Raw genomic sequence first — 15,383 nt, forward strand, 5'->3', positions numbered from 1 at the left:
AAGAAGAAAGTATGCCTTATGGGAAACACTCCTGACTCCACAGGCTCTGAGAGCTCTGCACAGGCACCAGTGAACGAGTCCCCACCTGCGGCCCCCCTGCATATAGCTACCCTGCGCTCTCAAAGGGGAGTGGGTTCTCTGGAATGTGCCTGACTTCCAATACTCCAACACCAGGACTGAATACCAGCCCAAAGCTCCTGTTTACTCAGGGCACACAAGGCCACCCATGGCCATTTAGTCAAGGTCAAGGGTCACTGTTCCCCTCTGAAAAGAGATCATACATATGCCCCACTGCACCTCCCACCTGTGGGAGACCCCCCCCTCCCTATCACTGCCTCTCCATGCACACTCCCGGTGTCCTGAGCTCTGCCTATGCCTGTGGAAGATATCCCCGGGCTGTGTGGGGGTGTGCACCCAGCCCCCGTGGCACACCACTGCTGCCCAAAGCAATCTCTGTACCAGGGATCCAGACTGGCCACCAATCCCTATACTTATGTCCCCAGCAACATTTATCAACCATTCTCCCAATCTCCCTTCCCTGCTCTCCTCTGATCACTCCTCCAGTACTAGAACCAGGAAGTTCTCCCCCACATGGTAGAGAAAGTGATCCAGGAGATGGGAAGCAACCATGGTCACGAAATGAGTAGGCAGCAGGCTAGGTTCCACTCACTGGAACTCCCAGGCCATCTGACACCGGACAGTCAGGTAACTGGAGGAAATCCAAAATGAAAATCTAGGCCTCAGGAGTGCATCCATAACAGTTCAGAAAAGAGGACAGAGAGGAGATGAGAGAGGAACTAAAGGGGGTGACTACCCCAACTCCAGGCCCAACCTTCAAGTCTTGGATCTTGATTCTTAATGAAAAAAACTCAGTCTGATTGTTTTAAATAATAAAACTCAGGATATTTTAATTGGACATTAGCACAAAGTTTTGATAATTAATGTAAATGAACCTTGTCTACAAAGCGAAGCATGCCTGCTGGTGAGCCACACAGATACTGCTCCTTCAGATTGAGGTTGTACATGCCCCCAAAGGCTCGCTTCATTGCTACGATTCTCTACTTAAATCCACATTCACAGCTATTGCCTCAGACCCTCTGGAGGAGGGGCCAGGGGTTAGCTGGCTTTGAATAGCATGTAGAGCACAGGCAGTGTGGCCACAAATGTCACACAGGTGACCAGGGTGCTATAGATGGTGTTCCTGTTGACTTGGGCTTCTAGTCTCTGCTCCGTGTCTGACAGTGCCAAGATCATGCTCCCCTGCTCCAGCAAGAAGCTGGGCATAGCCCCGTCTGCTGGTTCCACCAGGCCTGGGTGTGCTGCAGACTTTACAAGCTGAACCACCCCAGCCATTTGGCTACAAGTCTTTTCTAGGCCATCAAGCTGCTCTCGTAAGCCTTCTAGACATGAATGGACTTGCCTGGAATGACTAAGCTGCTCTTTCAAGGCAGCTGAAAGGACATCTACATCTCTGTCTCTGGTCGGGGGACTACCTGCCTGTGACCCAGAGTCCTGCCCTGGCCCAGCAGCATGTACCAGGCCCCTCAGGTCCACCATGAGATTGTGGAGGTCCCTCTGCTGGCGGGAGTAGCTAGACGCCTGTTCTCGAATGGCCTCTTGGAGACTCACAGGCCCCTTCTGCGCCTCCAGGAGTAAAGCCTTCAGCTCCTGTAGTCGCACACGGTTCACATAGGTGGAGCCAGCCACACCAATCAGGGCCCCCAGGACTGAGCCAATGAGGGACCAGTTCTTGGTCCTCTCAGCCCTTGTGCGCTCCTTCTCATGACTTTCCCGCACAGCTGCAGAGAAGAGGGAGAACTTCTCTCGCTCAGAGTCTTCTGCACGCAGATAGGCTGTGCGAAGCCTCTTCTCCTCCTGCAGAAGCAAAGCCATGTTATTGGATTACATGGGCACAAGGTGGCCCTGCAGCTATAGCCACCAGCAGATGGCTCACTACCTTGTGCCTGGCAGAGTACATGTTCCATAGACCCATGCTGAATGAATGAAGGTAGCACCAACCTGGCTGGGTCAGAAGGGCAAAGGAATTGGGAGTGATCAAAGTGAGTTGCATGATCGTCCCACCTGAGCAGTTCTGGGTTTGACCAGAGGTGCACTTATGTCTACACAAAGGGAAGTGTCCAGCACTCCCTAGGCCAGCCCCTCCATAGTTCTCCTTCCTCAGCATTCTGAGTCCCAGGCTACGCTGCCCTGAAGAGTTGGCCCCAGTACTCCAGAAGAAAGTATATGGATAGACTCTGGAAGCTTGGGGTTCTGTCCATCCATAGGAGCTTCTGGCTCACCTCTGTACCAGGCCTCTGACTACAGACCAGTCAGGGTTCCCACCCGGCCCCTCCATGATCTGCCAGGCTAGGGTCACTGTCCAGGTGCGAAAGGGCTGCCTCCTGAGGTGCCTACCTGCAGCATCCTGTGCTCGAGAGTAGCCAGTTCCAAGTACTGACTGTCCTCCCTGGAGACACGGTCCAAGCGGTCCCTCACCTCCTTCAGCTTGGCCTGGTGAACTTCCAAGTCCTCCCGAGCCTCTCGGACAAGCCCTCGAGCCACCATGAACACTTTCTCAGCCTGCAAAGAGAAAACCGGAGGCCATCTGCACCTTCTCTCCACACCCACACAGGCTCAGCTGCATTCCCAGCAAGGCATTCCCAGAAGAGGTCACTGGGGTGTGAGCTGCAAAGGGTGGAAACGGAATTCCTTAGACACTAATCCTGGCTCACCCAGTGGTGCTCAAAGTGCAGCCTTGGGCCACACCCATCAGAATCACGAGATTTAGCCATTCAAGCAGAAATAACATGCCCCTGAAAAAACTTGAAAACAGCTAACAATGCACACAATTTGTGTCCATCAAACCTGTGTTGGTAGGCTGTTTCCCGTGTGTTGCCTTATTTATGCCTTATAACAATGCCATGAAAGGCACTGCTGTGGCCTCCAGTTTATAAACCCAGAAACACCAGCTCAGCCAAGCTCACAATCTCCAAGGAAAGAGATGGCACTGTTTGTCTCAAAGTCCCAGCTGAACCCCAGGTTCTTCCCACCACGCTACACTACTACATGCCTAAGCAGGAGTGGGAACAGAGATGACAGAATGCATTTCTGCCACCACAAAGGACTTGACAACCACCACCAGCTCTTTCCACCTCACACTGTGACATTTCCTAGTGCCCTCTATCTTCACAAAAGATGTTGTAATTACACACAGTAACAGTACCGCAGCAAGCCCCACGTAACTCTCACCATCAATCCCCAAATGGTCCACAAAGGAAGTATTTGCTGGCCTCACAGAGTGGATGTTAGTGGCCAGGGACTTACTGGTACACAGTAACTGTTTTCGGGGAAAGTAGGTGGCACAGTTACATGGAGACCTTCACCCCAGAAGCATCAAGCCCAGGTTTCCACGTGAGAAATGAGGCTAAACACAAGTCTGGATGTGGCTACCCAGCACCACGTGACTGGTTTGGCACATTTCCCAAGTCAGAGGGCGGGGCCAGCCACCCCAGCTCCCCTCCTCACCTCTGTCACCTTTCCCTGGGCCTCTCGAACCTCGTTGAGTCCAACAAACTCTTCATATCTGTCCCACCAAGTCTTGGCTGTGGAGGTCGCTCGTTGCTGAATGCTGTGCCCCAGGGCTCTTCCCAGTGCTGGGAGGCGGTGGTGCAGCCCCAGGGCCACCTCCTCAGGTCTTTTCTCTCCGGGCTGGCTTGGGCCTGGGCTGCAGAGAGTCCTGGTCATGAAGAGGTCCCTTCCAAGGAGGCCCCTCCGAACCAGTACGTGGGGCACACCCACGATGTGCTGCATGGCAAACCCAGGGCTGCGCCCCATCATCCTGAGATCTGTGAGGGGGACGCCAGACAGGTCAGCTCACAGCTGAGAAAGGCTGGACATAAGTCAGTTTTGAGGCCTAGGGACAGTTCTGAACAGACTAATCCCCACTCAAATCATCTAAACTGAGCACCACCCTGTTGGGCCCAGAGACTGTGGCCCCTGTGGCAAGAGGATGGTCAGGCTCTCCTCTGGGTGCTCTTGGACAATGGAACACAGTTGGGGACGAGCCTCTAGGATGCCATACCTTCCAGTGCCCGCCACCATGCCACACAAAGCGGACCCTTCCCTGCTACCCACTTCCCTACATCCTCCAGGTCTCTCTGCTGTGACTTGAATGAGAATCCTGGTGCCCAGGTTTCTGATGTCAAAGACAGTTTTTAAACCAGACTTGTACACATGCTGACAAAGCCCCACAAAGACGCATAAATACTCCCTGCAATGTTGTGGAACTCAGGGGAATTCAGGAAGACTAAGATCCAGGATCATTTCTGTAAAACAGCCTCAAAACCAACTCCCCAGACTCTCCAAGGACTGCCTCAGCACAAGGGAAGCAGAGTTTCAATTCTGTGCAAGGACCTAAGGACACAGGCCATTTGTGACCCAAGACAGAAAACTCTCAGCTCTCCTCTAAGATAATTCCAGGGGCAAAAAAAAACAAAACAAAACTGTTTTTGCCACAGAGGACTTTTCTTAGGTTCACGCCATACAACTCCGCCCCCAGACTTTCCAGGCTACCAACTCTCAGTCTCACACTTCACGACTTCCATAAGCTTTCTCTTTCCTCTCCAACCTGCCATTGCTCAACAGGTTAGGTTTCTCTCATCTTTCCCTTTTCCATCTTGCTTTGATGTTTGGGCCTGCTTCTCATTACCTGGACAGCAGGGAGTCTCCTGTTATCCAGAATCAGGCCTCACCTGAGCCCAAGAGTGCCAGTGACTCTGAGGACCCCAAAGAGGTGGCCAGGTGACCCATTTTCCCAGAAAAAGCTGAGCCAACAGCACCCTCCTCTGGCCAAACCACACCTCAAAGTCCCTAAGCACTGATCCTGGCTGTGAGAGCGACACCTGGTGGCCAACAGACCACGCCACAGAGAGAAAAGCAGAGGGAGCTGCAGACAGGAAGGAACTGAAGGAGCTCCAGATACAGAATAGAAAGGGGCTTCCTGATGGAAGGTGATATGAGACAGAGGCTCCCCACAGCACCCTAGCCTCCTCTCCATCATGCTGTGCTAAGAACTGTCTTTGGAGAAGCTCAGCGGCTTTGAAAACACAGCTGGTTGGGTAGAAACATGTCTTCTGGGCAAAGTGGGCCTGAGCTGAGAGCCGCAGAAGGGAACTTCACTGTGACAGTGATCCCAAGCTGGTGCCACACCCAAACCCCTGGGCCCCCTTCATAAGGCTGGGTTCCATGCCCATGAGGGTGCATACCATCCAGGCCCCAGCAGCCCAGTCAGACTCCCAGGCCTCAAGGCCAGCACCCATGACACACAGGCTGAGATCCTATAACACCCCTGCAGGTGTATCCTTCATCAGACAAAGCATGCAGTGTCCGCCATGGCTGGCACCACTTTCAACACCCTCTCTTCCCAACATCACTGCCCCTCTTGGCTTCCTCCAACCTTCTCAGCCTCCTTTCCCAGCACCTCCTCTACTAGCTGCCCATTTTTAGACCCCAGCAAAGTCACCCATTCCTGGCAGAGATGACAGCTACTGTCTCCTATGCAATCTCGGCTTTCTCCCCTGCCGTCCCCCACCCCCATGTTCTGCACATGGCAGCCCAAGGCCCTGTAACACAAAAATCAGATTACATCCCTCTGATCAAAATCCCCCAACAGCTCCCATTTCACCTGGCGGTGGCCAAGAAATCCTGAGACCTCTCAGCCCTCATCCTCTTCCTTCTACTGCCATACTCTGCTCCAGCCACCGTGCTGGTCTGTGCCCTGCCACCTTGTCCAGCTGGATGACTCTTCCTCCACGAGTCTACTCGGCTCACCCCGACATCTTCATCTTTGCCCAAATATCACCTCTCAGTAAGGCTTCCTTGACCACTCCCTCCCCAGCTACCTTCTCTGCTTTATTTTTCTCCTGATGGATATATTTCCTTATGTGTTGCCTATTCTCTCACTAGAACATAAGCTGGGTGACAACAGACTTCATAAGGGAATGTGGCAATAATTCCCATGTGGCAACTGGAGTTGTTTCTCCACTCCAGTCCCTCCCCTCAGCCTCTCCACCATCCCACCAGCCCCCAACCCTGGGCCCTGTTTCTCAGCCCCCAGGATGTCACCACTTAGATGTTTCACAGGCCCCCCAACCAGCAAGGAGAAGAATGTTCCTGGCAAAGAGAAAAGGTGGAAAGTGCTTGAGGTCGCCCAAAACCTGAAAGGCAGTCAGTGCAACTGGAAAGCAAAAGCAGAGAAGAGTGGATGGAGAGGCTGGATAGGTGAAGCAGGGCCCTGAGGGTCAAGTTCGGAATCCTGCCCCTTCAGATCCATTCTCCCGCTCTATGTAGATGGCTGTCTCCTACCAACTGCCCCTTCCTCAAGCCTCTATCATCTGTTCCTCATCTTCACTTCCAGCTGATGGTCTGCTTGCTTCATTTTCCATCAAGAAAATAATAAAAAGTTGGAAGAGAACTTCCACAAACTCCCACCATACCTTCCCAACCATCAGTAACTGCCCCATTTCCACCTCCTCTCTTGATCCTCAGGATAAAAAACCCATGCTTCTAGGGAAAACCAACCTGTGCCCCAGGTCCCAAATCCTCTCTCCTCCTGAGACATTACTCAGTAATTGATCTGACACCCCCCCACCAGCAACTGCCCCATTTCTTTGGTTTCCTTTATAACCAAACTCCTTGACAGACTGCCTGAATTCACTGTTTCTGTTCCTCTTCTCTGATTCCGTCCAGCTCCCTCTGATCTGGCCTTCACCTGCTCCTCCTTCACATGCCATTTTTCACTCGGTTTCCAGTCCCCACTCATCTGCCTAACCTCTGGAAACTGTAGCACCCCGGCACTCGGCACTCAGACTCCTCTCTTATCCAGTCCTGTGGTTTTAAAAATCATCTATGAAAATGGTCAAAAAAATTTATTTTGGTGATGGCCATACAACTTTGTGAATATAATAAAACCACTGAATTGTACACATTGCATGAATTACATGGTATGCAAGTTATATATCAATAAAGTTGTTTTTTTAAAAAAAAAACAGAACTATACTCTTGACTCCTCCAGCGCAGACCTCTCTCCCCAGGGTTCTAGGCTCATTTATCAAACTTCCCAACCTATATCTCTGCCTGAAAATCTAATGGGGATCTCATCTTCCCCTCCCAAACCTTTTTTTCCCATAGCCTTCTCCATCATGGATGACAGCAATACCAAGTTCAAATATTCAGATCAACAACCTCGCATCACCCCTGATTCCTCATTTCTCTCCCACCTCACATCCATCTATCAGCAAATGCCCCTGGCTTTCCAAATCCAGGATCCCTCCTCCTCTCACCTCTGCCACTGCTACCAAATGGTCCCAGTGACCCACATCACATCTCTAGCCTGGATTATCCCAAGAGCCTCCTGACAGATGTCACCCTGCTTCTATTCCAGCCCCTACAATTTATTGTCAGTCGAGCAGTCAGTGTTCCTTTCCAAACACAGGTGGAACCATTGTCTCTCTGCTCAACCTCTACAATGGTTCCCCACTTCTCTCAAGGTAAAAGCCTGTCTTTTCCATGGCCTACAGGGAACCTACCCACTGGCTCTCATTCCTCTCTGACCTCATCTCCCACTAGTCTCCCTTTCCTCACTCCACTCCAAGCACATGGACCTTCTTGAAGTTGCTGGAACGCACCAAGTTGTCCCCAGCTCAGGGCCTTCACGACAGCTGCTATCTGTGCTGCTCGCTCCCTCACCTTCTTCAAGTCCTGCTCAAATAGTAGCCCCTTGGGAGGTCTTCCCCATGCACCCTATCAGATATGGCCATCCCACTCCCACCCTAGCACTCCTGACCCACTTTCTCTGCTTTATTTTTTCCATGCATATATCACATGACCTGCAACATGTATCCCATTTATTTGCTTTGGTTATAGTCTGTCTCACTCACTAGAATTTCAGCTTGGTACCTACATATAGTACGTACCCAGCAAAAAATGTACTCATCTGCCTAATCTCTGGACACTGTAGCATCCCAGCGCTCAGCACTGTTATTTAAAAAAATAACAACTTTGGCTGGGTGCGGTGGCTCACGCCTGTAATCCCAACACTTTGGGAGGCTGAGGCGGGGGGATCACGAGGTCAGGAGTTCGAGACCAGCCTGGCCAACATGGCGAAACCCCGTCTCTACTAAAAATACAAAAATTTTCCGGACATGGTGGCGGGCACTTGTAATCCCAGCTACTGGGGAGGCTGAGGCATGAGAATCGCTTGAACCCAGGAAGCAGAGGTTGCAGTGAGCCAAGATCGTGCCATTGCACTCCAGCCTGAGAGACAAGAGCAAGACTCCATCTCGGGGGGAAAAGAAAAAAAAGCTTTATTGATATATAACTTGCATACCATATAATTCACCCAATGTGTACAATTCAGTAGTTTTACTATATTAACAGAGTTGTATGGCCATCACCAAAATAAATTTTTTTGACCATTTTCATAGATGAACAAACAGAATTCGCAAACTGCTGCACCCCTGACTATATTATAAAACTCCTTACAGGGTTTTCCAAAGCTATAGGACCACGTGATATAACTCCCGTCCACTTCTGCCATCTCCCCGCCTAATCTCCCTCCACCCAAGCTGTGCTTTCCTTGGTTCCAGGAAAGCGACGAGCTTGAAGCTCTTTGCACATGCACATGCCCTGCTGTCTACCTGCAGTGCTCTTCCCGCGCACGGCCACAGGCCTGGTAGGCCGTCCGGTTAAGTACCCCTCCTACGGTTCCGATTCTACCCTGGCAGGACAACCCTAGCTCCTCGTACCTGGCGTGGCCCGACCAATCGTCTGCCACTCAGTTGACCTCTGACCTGTTAGTACCCGCCCCTGGAGCGCCGCATCCGGTAGCGAGAGTTCAACTTCCTGACTAGGAGCCAATCAGCGGGGCCGCCTCGCTGTCTACGACAAAGGGTGGGGCAGACGCTCCGTTTCCGGTGGCAGGGTCTGGGGAAGCGGCGGCAGGCGCCATGTCCGGCCGCGAAGGTAAGTGTTCCGGAACCGTGAGGACTGCGGGGACGGCGGGGTGGGGACCGGGCGGCAGGGGCAGGCCGAACGTGCTCGTGTCGCCCACAGGTGGCAAGAAGAAGCCACTGAAACAGCCCAAGAAGCAGGCCAAGGAGATGGACGAGGTGAGGGCGGGCGCGGAGGCACTGGCGGGTGCGGGGGCGCTGGGAGACAGGCCTGAGTTGAACACGCTCTGCCTCTCCCCAGGAAGATAAGGCTTTCAAGCAGAAACAAAAAGAGGAGCAGAAGAAACTCGAGGAGCTAAAAGCGAAGGCCGCGGGGAAGGGGCCCTTGGGTAAGTGGGGGCCGAATGGAGCTCAAGCTGGCCAAACGCTATGAGCACCTATTGGGATGAGGGCGCGGGCATGTCTTTTTCCTGCCTCCTGAACTGCGAGGTCTCGTTTTCCGACGTCCGCTGCAGCGAATGGTCTCTAGCCAGTCTAGGATTTGCAGCGGCAGTAAGGGCCGGGAGCTGGAAACGAGGTCTCCTGCCTCCCAGGCAGTCTGGGCTTCCATTCCTTAGGAAGAGCTGCAGAAACGGAAACAGTGAAATGTATTTACCTCAGACGCAGATTCACAGTTAAGTTTCTCAAAGTCTGACGTCGTCCGCAATCTTTTGCCCCAAATTCGTATTTCACTGCCTTCTAGTGTTTGAACCTTACTTGACTTAGAAGTTTTTTTGTTTTGTTTTGTTTTGTTTGAGACAGAGTCTCACTCTGTCTCCCAGGCTGGAGTGCAGTGGCGTGATCCCGGCTCACTGCAACCTCCACCTTCCGGGTTCAAGCAATTCTCCTGCCTCAGCCTCCCAAGTAGCTGGGATTACAGGCGCCTGGCACCACGCCTGGCTAATTTTTTTTTTTTGAGACGGAGTGCGGCTAATTTTTGTATTTTTAGTAGAGATGGGGTTTCACCATCTTAGCCAGGCTGGTCTTGAACTCCTGACCTCGTGATCCACCCGCCTCAGCCTCCCAAAGTGCTGGGATTGCAGGCGTGAGCCACCGCACCTGGCCAGTTTTTTTTTGTATTTATAGTAGAGACGGAGTTTCACCATGTTGGCCAAGCTGGTCTCGAACTCCTGACTTCAAGTGATTCACCCGCCTCTGCCTCCCAGAGTGCTCGGATTACAAGCGTGAGCCACAGCACCTGGCCAACTTTTTTTTTTTTTTCGTACTGCTTATATTATCTCTAATATATGCTTTTTTGCTTTCTGAGTCTTTTTACTTCTGGGTATGCCTAGACTAAAAGATAAAGTCCAGGCTCTTCAGTGTGCTGTTGCTCCATATGCTTTTCTAACTGAATCCTCCACCTTTTTTACATCTTTTATGTAGGAGAAATTCATTACATTTCAAAATATTTTTCAGGCCCAGCAGTTCTAGTACTTTATGTGCATCATAAGCATTATTTTACATTGATCCAACTAGTGATTATTTCCTCCACAGTTGTTTATGCCCCCATTTGAGCACTGTGAGCCATGCTAGGCATGATGGAGACAAGGATGGTGGGAGTGTCATCTAGGGCTTCCCAAGACCTCTCTCCCAGTGGGTTTGATCCATTATTGTTTACCTACCCAGCACTGAGATTTCTAGCTCTTGAGATTCCTTTTCAGAATGGTGTAAGGGGCCAGGCACAGAATGGGCTGACCATAATCCAAGTGCTTTGGGAGGCCTAAGCAGGAGGATTATTTAAGGCTAGGAGTTCACAGCATCAAAGGGAGACCCTGTCTACAGAAAAAATTTAAAATTAGCTGGGCGTGGTGGTGGTGGCGGCCCGTTTCCTGTAATCCCAGCTATTTAAAAGGCTGAGGCAGCCTCGCTTAAGCCCAGGAGTTCAAGGTAAGAGGATTATTTGAGCACGGGAGTTCAGGCTGTAGTGAGCTGGGATTGCGCCACTGTATTCCAGCCTGGGAGATAGAATGAGACCCTATCTCAAAAAAAAAAAAAAAAAAAGGTATCTTGCACCCTCTTTTAATCTGTGATTGTGTATAGGGGAAAGAACAGTCTTTAGTGTAACTCTATGCTAGTTGTTTCTCATTGAGCATCATCTGATTTTTATTTTAAGGTTTATTTTGTCAGGCCCCTTTGGATCTTCTTTCCTGTATTAGGCATATGTAACCCTACACTTTTTTTTTTTTTTTTTTTTAAATAGTCTCACTCTGTCGCCCAGGCTGGAGTGCAGTGGCATGATCTCAGCTCACTGCAGCCTCCGCCTCCCAGGTTCAAGTGATTCTCCTGCCTCAGCCTCCTGAGTAGCTGGGATTACAGGCGCACACCACCATGCCCGGCTAATTTTTGTATTTTTAGTAGAGACGGGGTTTCACCATGTTGGCCAGGATGGTCTCGATCTCCTGACCTCGTGATCCACCCGCCTCCACCTCCCAAAGTGCTGGGATTACAGGCGTGAGCCACCGCGCCTGGCCCAATCCTATGCTGTTTCTTAAATCGCCTACTGCGTTCCACATATATGGTCATTTGTAAATTGACAGAGTATACCAGGTGCCAGGATCATAATATGGAAGGTAGTGTAACATGGCAGTTAAGAATGTGGACTTTGAAGTCAGATGACTCAGGTTGGGATCCTGGCTTGTCACATACTTGAACAACACCTAACAATAAGACTTCTTTTTTGGCTGGGCATGGTGGCTCAAGACTGTAATCCCAGCACTTTGGGAGGCTGAGGTGGGTGGACCACTTGAGGTCTGGAGTTCGAGACCTGCCTGGCCAACATGGTCAAACCCCATCTCTACTAAAAATACAAAAATTAGCCGGGTATGGTGGCATGCGCCTTTAGTCCCAGCTACTCGGAAGGCTCATGCATGAAGAATCACTTGAACCTGGGAGGCGGAGGCTGCAGTGAGCCAAAATTGCACCACCGCAGTCCAGCCTAGGTGACAAAGCAAGACTCCATCTCCAAAAAAAAAAAAAAAAAAAAAAAATGCTGGGGTCGGTGGCTCACACCTGTAATCCCATCATTTTGGGAATCTGAGGCAGGCAGATCACCTGAGGTCAGGAGTTCGAGACCAGCCTGACCAATATGGTGAGCCCCGTCTCCACTAAAAATACAAAAATTAGCCAGGGCTTGTGGTCCCAGCTGCTCGGAAGGCTGAGACAGGAGAATTGCTTCAACCTGGGAGGCAGAGGTTGCAGTGAGCTGAGATCGTGCCACTGCACTGCAGCCTGGGCGACAGAGCAAGATTCCATCTCAGAAAAAAAAAAAAAAAGGACTTCTTTTTCTGTAAAATGGGTTGATATGGCATGAGGATTAAATAAGCCAATCTGTGAAGTATACAGAAGTGTAGATCTAGACCAGTGCACAGCCAGCCACTGCTTGTACTCCATCTCATCCTCATTTTACCTTTACCTAGAACAGACAGTATCAGTGAAGCTGCTATCCATGCTTGTGTTAAAGTGAATGCCCAATACAAAAGCCAGGCTTTACTAAGGTCCACAGCAGGCCCGTGGGGCTTCTACCGTAAGAACTATATTTTTCCCTAATTGTGACTATTTTTCTTTTGCAGCCACAGGTGGAATTAAGAAATCTGGCAAAAAGTAAGCTGTTCCTTGTGCCTGAGGAGATGGTGACCCTTTATTTCATCTGTATTTAAACCTCTCTATTCCCTGCCATAACATCTTTTGCCACGTATAGCTGGAATTAAGTGTTGTCTTGGAGCTGTTGTACATTTAAGAATAAACTTTTGTAAAAAAAGAAAAATCTTACAGTGGCTCATCATCTCTTTAGTTGTTTTCACTAAGTCGTTCCTACCATAACTGTGAATTTAAAGTAAAACCAGCTCAGAATCTTGCCAGAGTCTGTTCTTTGGTCCTTGTTCTACCCTAAACTTTGTATCACCTGAAATTAAACCAACTCATTTGAAAGGATGGCGTTCTTGTGTGGTTGTATACCTGACAGAATACCTTACATGAGTTTAGTGGAAGAATTTGCACTTTTTTTTGGTGGGGGAGGGGGTGGAGTCTCACTCTCACCCAGGCTGGAGTGCAGTGGCATGATCTCTGCTCAATGCAACCTCCACCTCCCGGGTTCAAACTATTCTCCTGCTTTGGCCTCCCAAGTAGCTGTGGTTACAGGCACCCGCCACCATGCCTAGCTAATTTTTTGTATTTTTAGTAGAGAGGGGTTTCACCATGTTGGCCAGGCTGGTCTCAAACTCCTGACCTCAAGTGATCTGCCTGCTTCAGCCTCCCAAAGTGCTGGGATTACAGGCATGAGCCACTGTGCCTGACCAGAATTTGTGCTTTTAAAAGAAAACCCATCTTTATGTTGTCACATCCAAATTGCCGTATATTTTGATGAGACTTGTTCATCTGTTCATGTAAGGCGTCTGCTATATGCAGGCACTGGGGTATGTAACGGAACAGTTCCTGTTGTCAAGGAACTTCTCTACTGTGGAAGAGGCAGGGCAGGGCAAATTACATGATCCTTCAAGTTGCTAGCAGTGAAGTCCCCATGCGCACCAAACAGGTCCAGGGCAGCAGCTGCGGGAAGCCCCAGCCCACTTGCTGGTGGATGGAGGGGGTGCCAGTGCCAGGCAAGGGGTTGGGGGTGAGGCAAAATGGGGGCTCACTCTACCTCCTGCTGCCCAGGACTGGAGTCCCAGGCATACCTACCGCTTGCCCCTCAATAAATGCAAAGACAGAGACCATCCATAATGTGTGCTGAATATGTTTTAAAATGCTTAGCTGGGTGTGGTGGTGCACTTCTGTAGTCCCAGCCATTTGGGAGGCTGAGGTGGGAGGATCACTTGAGCCCAGGAGTTCGAGGCTGCAGTGAGCCAAGATCACACCACTGCACTCCAGCCTGGGAGACAGAACAAGACCCTGTATTTAAAAAAAAAAAATTAATTCAGAAGCACAAGTATTTGGATTTCCCTCCCAGGCCCTTAATACAATTATGTTAATAATGCTCAGCTTTCTCTGAGAATATTGTCGAAGAGCGCTCTGGAACCATTATGAGACTGCTAAATCAAAACTAGGTTTTAGAATATTGAAAACTTTCATGATTAATGTACTAGATATTAACGCGGGAGAGGGGGCAGGGGGAAGCCTGTGTTGGTCCTCTCCAGAAAGTTGCACAGCCAGTAGCACCCTTCAGTAGGCTTCAGGCATTCCCTGTGGGGCCTTGCTAGCTGGCACCCAGCCGTATGCTGCTAAAACAAACCTGAGCACCAGTGATTCACACTGTTCCTGAAAGCAAGTTACTTGGTGGAACCTATCCCTCTTTAACAAATGAACAGTCCTGTCTCTTTCCAGGACCAGAGTCCTGCAGCAATTAAGCATGCAACACTTGGGAAGCTATCTGACGGAGACTACCAGTTGCTCCAAAAAATTTTAAACTCCTTAGACATTATAGGCCCTGATAGCACTCTCTTTTTCATTTACTCTTTTCATTTAATGCTTTCACAAATATTCCTAGGACACTCACAGGTGAAGTTTGGCACTGAGCAGGTAAGGCTGAAAGAGTCTTGCTCCTGTTACTCTCCATTGCCAAATTCTCTATTGCGGCTAACTTCTGCACACCACAGCTGCCCAATAAAATCTGTCAGGCACGCAAGCCCACCTCAAATTGCTGCTCCTTTGTGAAGCTTTACCTCTGTTCGCCACCGGTAACTCTTACCTGGCCTTTGTGTGGCCTCCCTTTCAATGTAGAATTCTCGTGTTAGTCTTATGTGCCAGCCTCCTACCCCTCTATCCTGCTAACTTGACTCAACTTGTAGGACAGCGCAGGTGCCATTTACAGGGGGACTTCCTTGACCTCCTGAGCCCTATTCTATACAACCAGAGCTTAGGAAAAAAAAACAGTCCAGCACTCAGAGGAATGGATGTTAACAGCCTGAGCAGCTCCCACCCCCTCCCACACAAGAACAGCTCCAAACATCATTCCTCCTTGGACTTTCCTCCTCCCTGGGCCTACCTCAAATGTACACATGTGAAACATTCACTAAACCCGAAGATGTCTGCACACGACAGCTCTATTCATACTCCTCACCCAACAAATTCCACTCTCCTCAAGAAAGCCTAGGGGTTTGTGGGAGGTGGGTCTGGCGGCAGAAGGAAAGCGAGGTCACGGAGACCACATCCCTGAATGATGCCTGGCTCGACTCAAACGCAACACGCGTGAATGCTAGGGCAGGCTGCTCCTGCGCGGCCCTCCTCCACGGAATGCCAGGGAGGGAGCGCAAAGCCACCAGCGCGGCGGAGCTGGTGCGCCTCCGGCCCGCCTCTCCGGTAACGGGTCGCGCCGCACTGAGTCCTTGCAGCAAACCTGCCGAATCCCGCCCGTGGACCTCTAAACACCGGGCGGGGCCGGGTGTGGCGGCGCGCTCGGAC

General features: G+C 50.5%; 2 protein-coding genes across 12 annotated transcripts, besides 7 other annotated features; one reads left to right on the forward strand and one right to left on the reverse strand.

Moving 5' to 3' along the window:
- Positions 1-881: 881 nt before the first annotated feature.
- On the reverse strand, positions 882-15,361 carry CCDC51 (coiled-coil domain containing 51). Of its 9 annotated transcripts, XM_011534113.3 has the most exons (5): positions 14,968-15,361; positions 9,386-9,571; positions 3,526-3,724; positions 2,416-2,580; positions 882-1,875 (listed from the first exon to the last, which is right to left on the reverse strand). In XM_011534113.3, the coding sequence occupies exons 2-5, from the start codon at positions 9,556-9,558 to the stop codon at positions 1,117-1,119; spliced, it is 1,296 nt and encodes a 431-aa protein (XP_011532415.1). In that variant the 5' UTR covers positions 9,559-9,571; positions 14,968-15,361; the 3' UTR covers positions 882-1,116. The 9 variants fall into 9 exon arrangements, with proteins under 9 accessions (XP_011532415.1, XP_047304894.1, NP_001243898.1 ...); XM_047448938.1 differs by lacking the exon at positions 14,968-15,361 and having other exon boundaries at positions 9,386-11,696; NM_001256969.3 differs by lacking the exons at positions 9,386-9,571; positions 14,968-15,361 and adding an exon at positions 8,805-8,828 and having other exon boundaries at positions 3,526-3,719.
- Positions 1,096-2,295: an enhancer, noted in NCBI's record as "MED14-independent group 3 enhancer chr3:48473797-48474996 (GRCh37/hg19 assembly coordinates)". NCBI's record gives its function as "activates an origin of replication core promoter dependent on BRD2, BRD4, P300/CBP and CDK7 cofactors, and independent of MED14, by STARR-seq in HCT116 cells {active_cell/tissue: HCT116}" and the evidence as "EXISTENCE:reporter gene assay evidence [ECO:0000049][PMID:35650434]".
- Positions 1,412-1,461: an enhancer, noted in NCBI's record as "active region_19827". NCBI's record gives its function as "activates an Ori minimal core promoter by ATAC-STARR-seq in GM12878 lymphoblastoid cells {active_cell/tissue: GM12878}" and the evidence as "EXISTENCE:reporter gene assay evidence [ECO:0000049][PMID:35858748]".
- Positions 3,492-4,334: an enhancer, noted in NCBI's record as "H3K27ac-H3K4me1 hESC enhancer chr3:48476193-48477035 (GRCh37/hg19 assembly coordinates)". NCBI's record gives its function as "activates a minimal SCP1, AML or CMV promoter by ChIP-STARR-seq in naive H9 embryonic stem cells {active_cell/tissue: H9 hESC(naive)}" and the evidence as "EXISTENCE:reporter gene assay evidence [ECO:0000049][PMID:30033119]".
- Positions 4,821-4,920: a silencer, noted in NCBI's record as "silent region_14328". NCBI's record gives its function as "represses an Ori minimal core promoter by ATAC-STARR-seq in GM12878 lymphoblastoid cells {active_cell/tissue: GM12878}" and the evidence as "EXISTENCE:reporter gene assay evidence [ECO:0000049][PMID:35858748]".
- Positions 6,649-6,698: a silencer, noted in NCBI's record as "silent region_14329". NCBI's record gives its function as "represses an Ori minimal core promoter by ATAC-STARR-seq in GM12878 lymphoblastoid cells {active_cell/tissue: GM12878}" and the evidence as "EXISTENCE:reporter gene assay evidence [ECO:0000049][PMID:35858748]".
- Positions 8,634-8,773: an enhancer, noted in NCBI's record as "active region_19828". NCBI's record gives its function as "activates an Ori minimal core promoter by ATAC-STARR-seq in GM12878 lymphoblastoid cells {active_cell/tissue: GM12878}" and the evidence as "EXISTENCE:reporter gene assay evidence [ECO:0000049][PMID:35858748]".
- On the forward strand, positions 8,966-12,917 carry TMA7 (translation machinery associated 7 homolog). Of its 3 annotated transcripts, none has more exons than NR_137639.2 (4): positions 8,966-9,021; positions 9,112-9,167; positions 9,254-9,337; positions 12,557-12,917. NR_137639.2 is itself a non-coding variant. In NM_015933.6 (4 exons), the coding sequence occupies exons 1-4, from the start codon at positions 9,006-9,008 to the stop codon at positions 12,589-12,591; spliced, it is 195 nt and encodes a 64-aa protein (NP_057017.1). In that variant the 5' UTR covers positions 8,966-9,005; the 3' UTR covers positions 12,592-12,917. The 3 variants fall into 3 exon arrangements, 2 of the variants coding, with proteins under 2 accessions (NP_057017.1, NP_001316346.1); NM_015933.6 differs by having other exon boundaries at positions 9,250-9,337; NM_001329417.2 differs by having other exon boundaries at positions 9,250-9,337; positions 12,563-12,917.
- Positions 9,204-9,263: a silencer, noted in NCBI's record as "silent region_14330". NCBI's record gives its function as "represses an Ori minimal core promoter by ATAC-STARR-seq in GM12878 lymphoblastoid cells {active_cell/tissue: GM12878}" and the evidence as "EXISTENCE:reporter gene assay evidence [ECO:0000049][PMID:35858748]".

This window comes from Homo sapiens, chromosome 3 (genome assembly GCF_000001405.40).
Source record: "Homo sapiens chromosome 3, GRCh38.p14 Primary Assembly".
Classification (NCBI taxonomy): Eukaryota; Metazoa; Chordata; class Mammalia; order Primates; family Hominidae; genus Homo; species Homo sapiens.